Raw genomic sequence first — 16,382 nt, 5'->3', positions numbered from 1 at the left:
AGATCAAAGCAGGATGTCTAGTTAGTGTACATTATAAAAAGATAATTTGGTGTTAAAAATTTATAGGTGCAAATATCACACTTGCTTCACCTTTGCTTACTCCTTTTCCTGGTGATTACTCTGGCCTCAATTGTTTTTGCTTGATTTGCACAAATCCAGATGTTCTACACTTTATAGTTTGACTTCTTGCCTATTAACCACCAGTTTTTCCTGTTGAACCTCATTGTAATTTCCTGGCTATATTTTCATTTTGTTATTAAATTTCTTCTCTGGCTTAAGTATGAAATATATTCAAGATTAGTAGAAAATTATTCTCTTTTTTTCTTTTGTGGGATTCTTATGAACAAAGTGCTTAAATATAGCACAGGAAACTTTCAGAAAAGTCTTAACAGTGCAAGCAGTAGATGAATGGTATTTAATCAAATCATTTGAGATCTGTTTCCCACTGATATCATAAACAAATTTAGTGTTTAATATCTGAAGAATTATTGGCAATTACCTTATTTCTAAAGCCAACAAGTATATAATAAAACTAACTGAAGCTGTTCAAGTGAAAAAAACATGACAGTTCTTAACCTATATGGAAGGAATGAGGACATGAATGACCTATAAAATGATGGTACAATGAAAATGACAAATTTTAGAACAATGAAATCAGTTTGTACATAAGACCGTCATAAGTGTCTTAGTTTTTTTCCTATGGTTGCCAAAATTGCCCATCTTAATCCACAAAAACAATGATGATGACAATGATTGTACTGATACTATTTATATAAAATAAATGGATCCATAAGCTTTAAGTGTCATAGGACAAAAGCTCCTACTTTATGAAAAACGCATTATAAATGTCAGATTTTTAAATGTAACACCAAAAGGGCAGAAGTAACAAGCAAAATTGGAAAGCATAATGCTGAGTAATAAAAAAGCAAGCTGGGAAATAATCCTGGAAGTGTAAAATCATTTATGAAAATTTTAAAAACTCGTTAATACTACATTTATGAATATATATGTAGTAAAAGTATTAAAATATGCACGAAAACCTCAGGATAGTAATTATCTCTGTTTAGGGGAAGGGAAGGAGAGAAATACGACCAGAGAGAGTCCAAAGGGGGCTTCAATTCCTTTTGTAACATTTCATTACATGTAGTAACATGTTACAACATGTTATTACAAAATGGTCAAACCAGGGAAAAATAGCTTTGATAAAAAGTATGGCTATAAAAAAGCAAAGTTGAATGCAATTAATGACATTTGGTTTGTTAAAAGAAAGAGCAACAATTGTAGCCATGATATAAGATTCAGGTCATACTGGTGGTGCATAAGTAAAGCAAGTTTATATCAAAACACAAATGTTGTACTTTATTGGTCCTCATTCTCTACCTATCCCACCCAATAATGATCGGTTTATAGTTAGAATGAAGAATAGCTTTTGTTTCCCCCTTTTTTTTGACGGTATCCCTCAGTTAAGTGTGTATATTTTGCTGGAAGGATGATTTGGGGGACTTTTCTTTTCTGTCCGTGTTCAACTCTTGAAGAATCTATCACGGTTAATGTTTCTAACTTGTAGACAGATACGATGCAGGTCAGATATTGTGCATTTAATTATTTGTTTTATCAAAACCTGTTTTTGTTTTATCTTTAGCCTACTCGAAAATGTAAAATGTCACATTTTCTATACCAATACTTCGTAACTCCCTTAGCCTCCTATTTTGGTGTCATTTTATCAAAGAACCATAGAAATTGCTGACTCCAATGCCTTGCTTCTAATGCCATATTTGTAAATTACAGCTTCTCCTATTCTTCTAAAAGTAAAATTAATGGATATATAGGAAATCCTTTTTTTTTTTTTCTGAAGGCAGAGTATAAGACAGTTTTCTTTGGAGAATCAGATTTTTCTTAAAACTAAATTGCTGGAGCAATTATGTTTTATAATAAACATAATAATATAATAATTTATTGAGACATAAAATAACTGAGACTAGGAATAACACACACCTAGATAACATCTCCAGCACACTGACTGTTTGAAAGGTCAGGTCACAAAATGACACCAAAACATATTTTGTTTCCCTCTGCACCAAGAGAAAAGTGAAGCACCCACACTGTATTATTATTTAAAAGCCCAACAAATGTTCAAGGCAAAAATCTTAATAAAATAGTAAAGTTAAAAAAGCCCATTGCCACAGGAAAAATAATCCTTCCATTTACTTAGCACTGCCGGAGTTGGCTTCTTTCCTTGATGAAGGACACCCTGCTAACATTTTTACAACTGGAGATAACAATGTCTAGTCTGAAAGGTAGTGGGGTAGAGGATTTCTTAAGCTTTTTTTTTTTTTTTTTGGAGATGGAGTCTCGCTCTGTCACCCAGGCTGAAGTACAGTGGCACGATCTTGGCTCACTGCAACCTCCACCTCCCTGATTCAAGCAATTCTCTGCCTCAGCCTCCTGAGTAGCTGGGATTACAGGCACCCGCCACCACGCTTGGCTAATTTTTGTATTTTTAGTAGAGGCAGGGTTTCGCCATCTTGGCCAGGCTGGTCTTGAACTCCTGACCTGGTGATCCATCCACCTCGGCCTCCCAAAGTGCTGAGATTACAGGGGTGAGCCACTGCGCCCAGCCATGTTAAGCATTTTGAGTTGTATTTGAATCCCTTTCAATCTGAGAGCTGCAGGATACCCCTGTTCAGTTATCCTGTTCAGTTTTGTTATTATCCTGTTCAGTTTTGTTATTAATACCAATTTTGTTGGTCTGTTAACCTATACACACATTCACATAACTGCCTAACAAATTGCAGCTATTTATTATATTAATATCAATTTTGTTATTCTGATGACCTATACATGCAGTAACATAACTACCTAACAAATTGCAGCTACAGGATAAAGAAAATTCTTTCTGTACCTGCACATGGTATATATACACACAAATCCCGTTACCCTTTATACACTCTTCTTCCTGCTCACCAGGAATTTTTTCTATCCCCCTGACATCAGAGACAGCTCAAGTAAAATACTGCTTCAACTGGGACCTGACATCAGAAATTCCAATGTCAACCCAGACTAGCTCAGATCCCCACCCACCCCCTTGAATAAAACCTCCATGCTTCATTAACCATGCCAGGAGCATCATGAGTAGGTAATAGTGGAGTTATATGACATAAGCTACTTCATTAACATTCTCTTTGTTTTCTAGATGTCTAAAACTGCATCCTTTGCCAGAGCTCAGTCTTTCCAGTCTCAAATCAAAATAAAGTGACCCTAACTGAATTCTTGACCCCTTTTGAGAAACCACGAGCTATAATAAAAATAAGAAATTGACAACTTTCTATCTTTTAAAAGTAAGATGGAATTTTTAACTGGGGTCCATGCAACTTGGTCTGCTCAGGACAGTCTTTAGTTTTATGCACGTTGTCTCAGTGTAATTATTAATAGCTCCTTCTTCACTCTCAAAAATGTCCCAATTTGGATGATAAATAAAACAGTTATTCTATTTATAACCCACTGAGAAATTGTGTTGGCTCAATAAAAAAGAAAAAGGAAGAACACCATGGATTATTTGACAATTAACTGCTAACAAATTCTTATTTTTAGGATTGACCTCTTGACTAAAACTTGCTCTGCCTGTCTGTGATATTTCCAAACGTTTGACACATCATCACTCAGATTTAAAATATCCAAACTGGTTCTCCTTTTGATATTCCTTTATTCATTGAAGTTTATCACAATTTTCCTAATGAACATCTTTAAGTCATTCTAAGTTATGTATGCAAATCTCCTTTACCCAGTCACCAAGTTGTATCAATTCTCAGAATCTCTTAGGTAGCTGACTACACCTGTTCCACCCTGGACCCTCCAATTATGGTCTTTGTCAGTTCACATCTTCAGTTTTGCAACCACTAGTTGCTGTCCTTCAAATGTTTCCTCTACCCAAGGATATTCTACATAGCATATTGTTTCCCTGTTTAAACCTTAATTAAAACTCTTTTGCTTATACATTAAAACCTCAATCTCACCATAAAAATGTACAATCTTGCCTTGACTCACCTTTTACCACTGCCCTATGCAAACTTTTCTATCCAAGCCAACATGGTATATCGAATCTTTTCCTGCAAAACAGACACACCTTGCCCATTCCTAATTTCATGCCTTTTTTTTTTTTTTTTTTAAAGACAGTTTCGCCCTTTCACCCAGGCTGGAATGCAGTGGTGCGATCTAGGCTCACTGCAACCTCTTTCTCCTGGGTTCAAGTGATTCTCATGCCTCAGCCTCCCAAATAGCTGGGATTACAGGCGTGTGCCACCACGCCCAGCTAATTTTTGTATTTTTAGTGGAGATGGGGTTTTGCCATGTTGGCCAGGCTGGTCTCGAACTGCTGACCTCAGGTGATCTGCCCACCTCAATCTCCCAAAGTGCTGGGATTACAGGTGTGAGCCACCACAGCCAGGCCTAATTTCATGTCTTTGAACACGCTGCACTTACTCTTTCTCCATTCTTCCTCTATTTGTTTTTCTGTAAATCTTAGTTATTGCTTAGACTTAACTTAAAATTCCTTCTCTATAATGGCTTATCTGATCATTTCAGCCCATATCTCAGCTCCACTGAACTTGCTGGTAGTTCATTTAACCAGACTATATATTGCCTTAACTGATGTACTTCTTGGTAGACTATGAATTTCTTGGGGCAAGAATTGTGTCTTGCTGTCCTTGGAACACCAAGTGCATACATAGTTGTTGAATTAATGAATACAAATCTCACACCTGCCAGTTTTGCAGTCATATGTGATTATCATTTCCAGTCACTTCACTTTTTCACTCTGTATTTCTTGCATCAACTGCCCTAGACATGCCCTAGTCCAGTCTTCATTGCATTCCGTCAGTCTTTACCTGTGAACATGCATACATGCATCAAGAAATCAAAGACTGATGTTATGTAGTGTCAGGAGCCTGCAATGGCCTACAAAGCCCTACACAGCCTGGCCCTTAGTTTTTGACCTCTTCTCTTCCCTCTCCTCAGCCACTCTTGCCTCCTTGCTGTTCCTCAAACATGGTCACAAGGCCTCTGCCTCAGGGCCCTTGTATTTGCTCTTCCCTTGCCCAGAACACTCCTCACCCAGGTATTCTTTTTTAATTATATATATGTATATATAATTATATATTATAATTACATATATTTTATATGTAATATATATTATGTTATATATATTATATATATATATATATATATATATATATATATATATATTTCTTTTTAAGTAAAATAGAAACAGAGTCTCACTGTGTTGTCCAGGCTGGTCTGAAACTACTGGGCTCAAGGATCCTCCTGCCTCAGTCTCCCAAAGTGCTGGGATTACAGGTGTGAGCCACTGCATCTGGCCCATCCAGATTTTTTTTTTTTTTTGAGATGGAGTTTAGCTCTATTGCCCAGGCTGGAGTGCAGTGGCACAATCTTGGCTCGCTGCAGCCTCCACCTCCTGGGTTCAAGCAATTCTCCTGCCTCAGCCTCCCAAGTAGCTGGAACTACAGACGCATGCCACCGCACCTGGCTAATTTTGTGTTTTTGGTAGAGACGGGCTTTTGCCATGTCGGCCAGGCTGGTCTCAAACTCCTGACCTCAGTAATCTGCCTGCCTTGGCTTCCCAAAATGCTGGGATTACAGACGTGAGCCACCATACCAGCCCCACCCAGATATTCTAATGGCTTGTTCCTCACCTCCTTTAGAATTTTGCTCACATTTGGCCTTGATGAGACCTTCCCTAGCCTCCATTATCCAAAATCACAATATTCCCATCCATGCTTGTAATTGCCTTTTCTTATTTTTCCCTTTAACGCCTGTCATATTCCAGCCCACTGTATGTATTACTTCTGTGGTTCATTATCTGTCTCGTCCCACTGCACTCTATGTTCCATGAGGGCAGTGATTTTTGTCTGTCTGATTTCCTGCTGTGTTTCTAGTGCCTAAGTAGGTGCTCTTTAAAAAAGTAATAAGGGAAATGAAGAGACTTACTAGCAACTGTCTACATTTATTTTCAAAGGTGGAAATAGGAAAATTTTCCAGCTTTTCTCTTGAATTCAAGAACTACCTGGAATTTCACCTATTTCCAAGAAAATAACAGTGAGTGATATATGCAAATATGACAAAGAACTGCAAGTTTATGTATAGGCAAAGGGTGGCTTCTCATTCTCACAGGAACTATGGTTGACTTGATAACCTTATATGACTTGAATTGCTTATGTACAATTAGAAAATCTGTCCAGTGGTCACTTTTTGATTAAGTAATTTTCCTTTCTATTTATAAAAGATAGGATTCTCTGCATCAAAACTGAAAACCACAAAATCACATACATAGACTTTTTATCCCAGTTCTCACAGATATTTACTGTTAATATTTTGGTGCCTCATAATTTAATGTTAAACTTGAGATTCTTTTATCATAATTTTAATTCTCTGTAATGCAGTTAATACATTTGAGTGTGGACAAAAATATGACTTCTGTAATATCTTTGCATTACAGGTGCTATAACAACTTGAAACAGCTGACATGTAAGATTCTTTAAATCGTTTTACCAAAATGGGATAGTATTTAAATAGCTGGAATACCATAGCTCTTTTGAAACTTGGTTGAAATATAAAATGAGCATTCTAGAAGAGATTGCGTGTTAGTTTAGGATGTAATATACTTAGATGTAAGTATAATAACACCTGCAGGCATTTGTTAAGGATTGTTTTGAATTAAGACATAGTTAGGGATTACAGTTTGTATAAACTTCATGTTATCTCATAAATCCTCCACAGATCCTTGTTTGGCAGGGTTTGGGATGTGTGCACGTGTGTGTGTGTGTGTGTACTACAAGATTTCGAACTAAAAATTGAATCCTTAAAAAATTCTTCAGACTTAAGGAATGAACTTTTAATGAAATTGCCTAATTGCATAATCTGGAATGCTTCAAATGATGCTGACGTCCATAAATAAAATACTGTAGCCACACTTATAGATTAGCTGAAGGAAACATTAAAGAGAATAACATGGAAAAATACTAGACTTTTCTTCTCTGGTCGTTCTCATTAGTGAGCAGAGAATTAACTGAAACATTGCGAGATGAGTATTCCTTCCCCTGATAGTCCACATGTCCTTAAAGTGTGGATATGAGTGGAGGATGGTAGAGAAGAGTGGTATTAGTGTTCATTAAAGAGAAATTGGTCACCCGCCGTATGGTTATATGCTGTTGTTAGAGCAATGAAAATCATTTTCCTACATATAAATGCTTTTCCCATATGAAACTTCTTACAGGCCTCTTATGACCTCGGCCTTGAAAGCATTGACAGTTCTTTCCTGAAAGCTGTCAATTTTTATTCTCCATGTTTTAATCAAAGCTCTAAATAGTAACTGTCATCTGTTTTTGATGATACTAGGGTATTGACAGATGTCCCAGATCTGACTTGATTTTGCATATGACATAGGGAGCTCTTGTTTCTTCCTTGAAACCGGCAACTCTTGTTAGCCAGAGCTACTAGTAAATGGACTAATTTCACTGGTTGCTAGCACTCCTTGAAACTCGTTTCCTAGCATGTGTTTCAAAAATTTGTTAAGTGAGAATTGGTGCTGACTGTTTGATCCCTTCTTGTTATCACTTATAACTAAATTGTTATGCTGGCTGGAGGCTGTGCAAGCAATCCTCACTGTATTCATTGTTATCCTAGATCATTCTTACAGTTTCCAGAGCCCTGGGATTTAGAATCAAATCTATGTAATTAAAATGATTGATTGATCCGGGGCATAATACTTCATTCCTTGCACATTGCAATTTCCTAACAACTTTATAAAGCAACGATTTTCTTTTGCTCCTTTCATTTGACTACTAATGGTACAATAGTAGACAGAGGGGTGGCTTTTTGTATTTTTTGTTCTGAGATGTGGATGAGCACCATTGACTTAGCAATGGATATGCGGGGTGATTAATGTAGCTGGTATTTGTGTTAACCCGGAACTGGAGCAGAAATTTTCAATGCAGTTTAATAGAATTGCTTATGAATTGAAGAAATTATGAATCATTAGTTATTCAGCATTCTCTTATGCAGGGGGCAGGGATGTGGTTTCTCTGAAGGCGTTCAGCTTTAAGTTGGAGTTTATGCTAGCTTAATGCAGATAGATAGGTAGGTAAAAAGCAAAGCAGGAAAAAGAAACTAACTTTCCAGGACAAGGGCACAGAGCTCAGGAGAGGATAGTGGAGAAGAAAATCTAATTTCTGCCTTTAAAAGGAATATAGTTAAAACTCTAGTACTTTTCCAGTTGTGAACAGACAGCCTACCTCTAGAGATTTCAGTTTAACTCCTCAAACTGATTTTTGCCACCTTATACATGTTTACTGAGACCAAACCCATCTTCCATCAACCTTGGAGTGAAGGAATCACTCTGGGGTGTGTTCTAATCTAATTGACACCTCTAGAATAGGTGTGTAATTTTCTGTTCTCCTTAAGGACATGGATCCTTAAATTGATAGAGTAGAACTAGGTTAAAGTTTGAAGTCATTAAAAGTAAAAGCAAACAAACATCTTCTGCCTCATGTATTTATTAAGTTGGCTATGTCTGTTTCTCTCCATTTGCCGAACCTGTGAATATTGTATTGATCCTCTTTCTGCCATACCTTTATAATACCTTCTGTATTTCTTCCTATGCATTCACACATAAGGTAAAATTACAAATAAAATTGAATCTGAATTTCTAAAGTATGAAAGTCAAACTCTCGGCCAGGAGTGGTGGCTCACGCCTGTAATCCTAGCACTTTGGGAGGCCGAGGCGGGTGGATCGCAAAGTCAGGAGATTGAGACCATCCTGGCCAACATGGCGAAACCCCATCTCTGCTAAAGATACAAAAATTAGCCGGGCATGGTGGTGCACACCTGTAATCCCAGCTACTTGGGAGGCTGAGGCAGGGGAATTGCTTGAACCCAGGTGGCGGAGGTTTCAGTGAGCTGAGATCATGCCACTGCACTCCAGCCTGGCGACAGAGCGAGACTCCGTCTCATGAAAAAAAAAAAAAAAAAAAAGAAAGTCAAACTTTCCTGTAAGTTCCTGGAAGGCCTACCTCTTGTGGCCCTAATGAGGAGGAGCCCTGTCACTCTTGTGTTCCTGCATGCCCAGGTCCAGCACCAAGTGTGAGTCACATCTCAAGTCAGTCAATGACTGGATTTCTTTACATATACAATGCTATTGAGGATGGCATAAATTGCATCTTTTAAGGGTTATGGTTGACAAAAATATGAATAGAGGGTGCCTACTTTTATTTCTGTGTTAATGTATAGAAGGTTTACATGTAGATAAATGGTAAATGATTAGTTATCAATCTTGCTGCTCAAAAGGAACCCACAGAAAAAAAGTCACCCTTCTCCATACACAGTCTAAACACCCACCTCAACACAAGATTTAGCTGTTTTATGAGGAATTAGTGAGAAAAAGATTTGAGAGAATTTTATGTTTCGGTATAATGCTAACACTAACAATAGACATCATTCATTGGTGCCTGGCACTGTATTAAGCTCTTAATATATTGTCTTATCTAACTTTCAAGACTGCCTTGAGGTATGTACTTTATTTTCATTTTACAAATGAGAAAACCTAGGCTCAGAGAGGTTTAAGAAACCTCAGAATAGAATCCCAGGAATAAACCCTAAAGCCTGCTGTGTAATACAAAGAAAATTGCTCCAACACAGTTATCTGCTGAAGAGGTATGTGCCCTCTGGATACCTAAGTAACTATTCTGCTCATCCTCTCCTTCCTCCTCTTTCTTTTCCTTCCCCACCTCCATCATCACCATTGTGGCTGTGATTATGCAGCCCTGAGGTCTTTCCGTTGGAGCACTGCCTCTCTTAAATAGGTGACTTGCTATCTTGAGGCAACAATGAGCTGCTTTGACAAGAAGAAAAGTTGGCCCATCTACCCATAAGCTCTCATTGGGCAAGGATCTCATATATTTCATAGACAATGTTAGCCAACTAGTGTCCTGATCTTCTGCCTGCATCTCAAAAATAGCATGCTATCTCTTAGGAGTGAATTTCAATTATCAGGAAATCCAGAAGTTTGACATTGTTCCACATTTTCTGAAACTGCCCATGGAAATCAATTCCAGGCTTATAAGCTGTCTGTATGTACAGTCATCCCTCAGTATACATAGGGGATTGGGTCTAGAACCACCCAGGATACTAAAATTTGCACAGACTCAAGCCTGCAGTCAGCCCTGAGGAACCTACATATATGAAAAGTCAGCCCTTTGTATTGGTGGGTTTCACATCCTAGGAATACCATGTTTGGTTGAACAAAATTTGAGTACAAGTGGGCCCGAGTGGTTCAAACCTATGTTGTTTGAAGGCCAACTGTAGTTATATTAAGCTGAATGCACGTTTTTATACACTACCGTCTCCACACTTGTTCATGAAGAGAAGACAGAGCTTCTATTTCATTATTAATTTTGCCTATTTAAGCATTTTATCCTAAAATAAATGTATGCTCATCACTTGAAATAGCTGTCGGAGTAACATTTGCTGGAAAGAGAAAGAAAGTAAATAACACAAAGTTAAAAAGACATGGGTAGATCTGATTTTTGGAGGACCAAGAAATTTGTTGCAAAAGATCTAGCTCACTTCTAGTCCCTACAATGAAACACGAGTGCAGTAGTTTCCCTTACCCACGATTTTACTTTCTGTGGTTTCAGTTACCGGTGGTAACTGTAATGGAAAATTCCAGAAACAAACAATTTATACAGTTTTAAGTTGTGCACCATTCTGACTAGCATGATGAAATACTGCATCACACCACTCCGTCCCTCTCAGGACATGAATCCTTCCTTTATCAAGCAGATTCACACCTGTGAGTCACTTAGTAGCCCTGTTGGTGATCAGACTGTCTTTGTGTCACAGTGCTTGTGTTCAAGTGACTCTTATTTTACTTAATATGACCTGCAAGTGCAATAGTGATGCTGGCTACTTGGATATGCCAAAGAGAAGCCAGAAAGTGCTTTAAGAGAAAAGGTGAAAGGTTTCAACTTAGTAAGGAAAAAAATACTATATGTTAAGGTTGCCAAGATCTATGGTGAAAACAAATCTTCTATACATGAAATTTTCGAGAAGGAAACAGAAATCCATGCTAGTTTTGCTGTTGCACCTCCAGCTGCAAGACTTACGGCCACAGTGCTTATTAAAATGGAAAAGCCATTAAATCTGTGGGTGGAAGACATGAACAGAAATGTGTCCCAATTGGTGGGTTTCAGGCATCCTCCAGGGGTCTTGGAATGTGTCCCCGTTGGGTAAGAGGAGTGTACTGTATGCCCAAGGAATTCCTCATGTTTTCACTTGGGGTTATCTGCACCCAGCCCTTTGATAGAATTAGTGTTTATTCTCATTTTCACTCCCGGAAAATGTATAAGCTACAATACTCTAATTAGCGCTCTGTGCTTGGCTTTGGTGAGAACACACTCTGTGTGTGCACAGTTCACCAAAACCTTTGGGAATGACTGAAGGGCCTGGAAGTTTCCAAACTGAGGGTCAAGGTCACCTTGGCTTTGCTATCCATTATTTCTTGTTTCTTTTACAGGAAAAATCCTTTGATGTTCTATAAATTCTAAATACATTTGCAATTTAAAACACTCTTCAAAAATGTAGTAAAACCACGTATTTGTAACCTTCACGAAGGCCGGAATCTGAAAAAAGAAAAGACAGAGCCAAATTGACTCTAATTGTTAAGGACAAAATGAACCATCTTTTGACTAGACAAAGCTACCAGAAATCTCTTTGATTGGAAGTATTTTGTGCTGAAAACCAACTAGAAAATAGGAGGTTTTTTTTTTTTTTACAATTTTATTTTAGGTAACAGGAGCTATTTAAAAAAAATTACTCCTTCATTCCACCAGAAGTTTTAAATGTTTCTTGATCTAAAAATGTAGATGTGGTTTAAGTAATTGTATGAACAAGGTAAGGGCCAGTGTCTCTACTGTGACATTAATGACAGGTGCAAACTAAAAAACTCATTCCAGTATTTTTGCAGAATGAGGAGTGGTGTCAGAGACAGCTGGGCTTGGAAACCTTCTGGAAGTCTTTTATTGTTTCCTGTATTGGATCAAGTCCAAAAGTGAGAATAATTACCCTTTAGAGCTGCCAAGTTTTCAGGCAATTCAGATGACTCTAGTCTTGTAGTAGGAAAAAAATGTGAGTCAGGGTACAAGAATAGTGATTGAATTTTATAAAAAGTATTTCTAAAGCAGTAATTTCCTCAGAAGTGACTTGTTAGCTTTGACTAATCGAATGCAAAGTAGAGAAGCGTCTGATCAAAATTACAGAAAATGAGAAAGAAAATTAGACTCATCTACTTCTAGACGGCCTAATAATACAGAGTTGAGGGTTTCAATCAGGCTCCCTTGGTGACTTTTAGGTAATTCATCAAATCCTTGTGGGGGCGGTGTCTGAGGAGGCTGTGAAAAAGAGAGACAGGAAGAACCTCTCAATATTGAATAGGAAATTTATATTGTTCTAAAAACTTCATATCTCCCAAATTTGTAAGAACACCCTGGTTTAAAATAAACAGGCTCCCCCTCTTGAGAATAGAGAAACAGTGACAGGTGTTTCCCTAAATTTCCAAACCTAACAACCCATTTAGACAGCCTATATCAGGTGCTTTACTCATCCTCACAACAGACCTGCAAAGGAAATACTATTATAGGACGGTCACATTCAAGGATAAGATCCTTGAATATTTCAAAATAATCAAATAACTCAGAACTTTCCTAATTCCGGATCAGTTTTCCCATAGGAATAAATGTCGCATAGGGAGGTATTTTCAGAACCTATAAATCTATATCTAATGTTGTGTTTTAAAACAATTTTAAACACAATGAATGGATACATACTAACTTTTTGTCGTGTCTAACTTTTGTTTCTTCTCTCAAAAGTTCTTGGCTCTAACAATTTTTTCATTTTTACCACTAACACTACCACTTAATGAACCCCTGGGAAGCATGGTCATAATTAACCAATAGTGGTCATTAAAATAACAGCACAGGAGTCATCAAAATCACACTTAGGAACTTCTGAGGGAGAGTGGTTTAGAAGCTAATGACCAAAAATATTTCTATTTCCTACTAACACACTACTCTCATGTGGCAATATTATAAATGTACGAAACAAGTTGGAACACTAGCTTTGAAACTGTGATTTCTGAGTATAATTTAGATGTAAGAGATTCACATGCCTTCAAATTTAACATATAAAGTACATCCTCCTTAATATTGTATATAGTGGTATTTCCAAATGTCATGATTCAGATGCACATAAAATGCAACCACATCCCTATTTTGGGATGAAAGAAGTGATGCTTGGGTGATTAAGAAATTTACCTATGGGCACATACCTGGTTCCAGAATCAGGATTAATTGGTCTGACTTAAAATGCCATGCTGCTTACATAACTGAGACAGGTCAAAAAGTTAAAGAGGACTAAATCCAGAAAGACTTCATTAGTGGCTTCGATTAGATAGGAATATGATTTTATGAGCATCTGAGGGAGGGAAACACTTTGCTGTAGAGTTTCTCAAACTGTGACCTGTGGGTCATTTGCATCAAGACATCTGGAATGTTTGTTAAAAATCTCCATTTCTGGTTTCTTCCCCAAAGCTATAAAATTAGAGCCAGTAATCTCAGCACTCTTGGGATTACTTTGGGAGGCCAAGGTGGGTGGATCGCAACATGGCGAAACCCCATCTCTACAAAAAGTACAAAATATTTAGCTGGGCATGGTGGAGCATGCCTGTAGTCCCAGCTACTCAGGAGGCTGAGGTGGGAGAATTCACTTGAAACTGGAAGGTTGAGGCTGCAGTGAGCCAAGATCACACCACTGCACTCCAGACAAAGTGAGGTCCTGTTTCCAAAAAAAGTAGAGCCTCTGGTGGTGAAGTTTGGAAATCTGCATTTTTAACAATCTCCATGTTTTACTGTAATTAAAGTTTCAATATAGTATTAGGAGGCTTATATGCCCCTTTAGATACCACCCAATGCCCCCTCACCAGAGTCCAGGGACTCTTACAGTAACTGTCCCCATTGAACAACTAAAGGCTTTTGGGACGTGTTCAGTAGATGAGAAGTTCAATACATGCTGTGTTTCTCCAGACAGGTATCACACTGTGATTCTGGTCAACTATGGCACACTTACTCTTTACTCATGCATTTCTTAATTGTGCCTCTGACCTTTCACCAGCTATTTTTTCCAGCACTGTGGACTATTAACTGGATGCTTGCACCTGAGATAGCAGTGTTCTGGTAACCTCTCACTTGAGGAAGTTGTTATCTCAGTTGGCTTCCTGTTTGGCCTCATGCCATCCATGCAGAGCCATGAGAGGCAAAGCAGCCCAGAAGCAGCCTCTCATCCCTCTCCTGTGACTTCCTAGGAGAAGAATATTCCAGTGGTTATGATTTCCCCTCCCCACATCCCTCCAACGCATGCACATACATTGCCTAACCTCTTGCTTTCATATCAGTTTGCATTTTCTTTCTTTGATGTCCCATCTTAAACTCAACATGGTCTGAAAGGAGTTTTATAAAAATGTTCTTAGCCAGCCCTGCCAACACTCTACCACAACTTAATCAATACACAAATAAGTGAATAATTAAATCAATTTCTTTCCTTCTCATTGTCTAGTGTCATTATCCACCCTGTTGCTCAGGCCAATAGCCTTAGTCTTCTTTTCTTCCTTGCTATTAATATATCACAGCATACGCCGGGCACGGTGGCTCACACCTGTAATCCCAGCACTTTGGGAAGCCAAGATGGGCAGAACATGAGGTCAAGAGTTCGAGACCAGCGTGACCAACATGGTGAAACCCCATCTCTACTAAACACACAAAAATTAGCCAGGTGTGGTGGCACGCACCTGTAGCCCCAGCTACTCAGGAGGCTGAGGCAGGAAAATTGCTTGAACTCGGGAGGTGGAGGTTGCAGTGAGCCGAGATCACGCCACTGTACTCCAGTCTGGGCGACAGAGCAAGACTCCATCTCAAAAAAAAAAAAAAAAAAAAAAAATATATATATATATATATATATATATCTGTGTGTGTGTGTGTGTGTGTGTGTGTGTGTAAGTGTATATAATGTATACACATATATGATATATATGTGTATACATTATAGTGTATATTGTTATATATCATATATGATATATGCGATATATCATATATGATATATGTGATATATCATGTATGTCATATATCATATATCATATATGCGATATATATCATATATCATATATGCGGTATATATCATATATCATATATGTGATATATATCAAATTTATATATGTTATATGTTATATATCATATATAAGTTATATATGTTATATATCACATATAAGCTATATGTTATATATATCATATATGTTATATATATCATATAAGTTATATGTTATATATATCATATAAGTTATATGTTATATATATCATATATATCACATATATGTTATATATATCATATATATCATTATCACATATATGTTATATATATCATATATATCATATATATGTTATATATCATATATAGCATATATATGTTATATATCATATATAGCATGTGTTATATACCATATATGGCATATGTTATATACCATATATGGCATATGTTATATATCGTATATGGCATATGTTATATCATATATATCATATATAACATGTTATATATATCTCTATATATATTATCTCTCTCTCTATGTGTATATATATATTATCTATATATATCACAGCATCCATCACAGCATCTCAGGGAGTCTAAGCAGCTATACTGCCAAAATAGATCCTATGTTTGTCTGCTTCTCTTATGCCCATTGTTACCACATACTAACCACCACCATCATCATCTTTGGAAATGCGGGACACAATATATTTTTAAGTGCCTGACTACTTTTATAATAATATGAATATTTTAACATTTATATTAATGTAGTAATTACTACAGTCCTTTCACCACACAGCAGCCTGTATTATTAAAAATACAAATCATGTCATTACCTGCTTAAAACCTACCAATGCTTGTACAGTGCAGTTAGAATAAAATGAATTGTATAATTATTACTATCTCTGTGTCAGGATCCTCAAAGGCCCTATAAGCTGTAGTCCATGCCCACCTGTTAAACCATGTCTCTCTTTAGTCCCCATCACCGCCAGCCTCTGGGCTCGTACCAAGCGTGCCCAGCTGATTAGTGCTTAGTGATTTATCCCTCTACCTGGTATGTTCTTCTCTAGGTCTTGGCCAGCCTGGCCCCTTTTCATTGATCAGTTATCAGATCACATGTCCCCGCTTCTGAGAGGACTTCTTTCATGTCAGAAGACGACCTTCTTGCCCTCATCCCTAGTCCA

At 37.4% G+C, this 16,382-nt stretch overlaps 1 protein-coding gene across 4 annotated transcripts in view, besides 1 other annotated feature; it reads left to right on the top strand.

Annotated features, from left to right (window-relative positions):
- The window catches only part of ELOVL6 (ELOVL fatty acid elongase 6), a 153,357-nt gene that overhangs the window by 99,557 nt on the left and 37,418 nt on the right, over positions 1-16,382 (top strand). The gene's annotated exons all lie outside the window — the stretch shown is intronic.
- Positions 11,447-11,616: an enhancer, noted in NCBI's record as "experimental_71960 CRE fragment used in MPRA reporter constructs". NCBI's record gives its function as "activates a minimal promoter by MPRAs in K562 erythroleukemia cells, with activity observed for both the introgressed and non-introgressed 4:111009271 variant alleles {active_cell/tissue: K562}" and the evidence as "EXISTENCE:reporter gene assay evidence [ECO:0000049][PMID:34662402]".

This window comes from Homo sapiens, chromosome 4, assembly GCF_000001405.40.
Source record: "Homo sapiens chromosome 4, GRCh38.p14 Primary Assembly".
NCBI lineage: Eukaryota > Metazoa > Chordata > Mammalia > Primates > Hominidae > Homo > Homo sapiens.
Note: the sequence above shows the minus strand (reverse complement) of the source record. Positions and strands in the feature narration are given on the sequence as shown.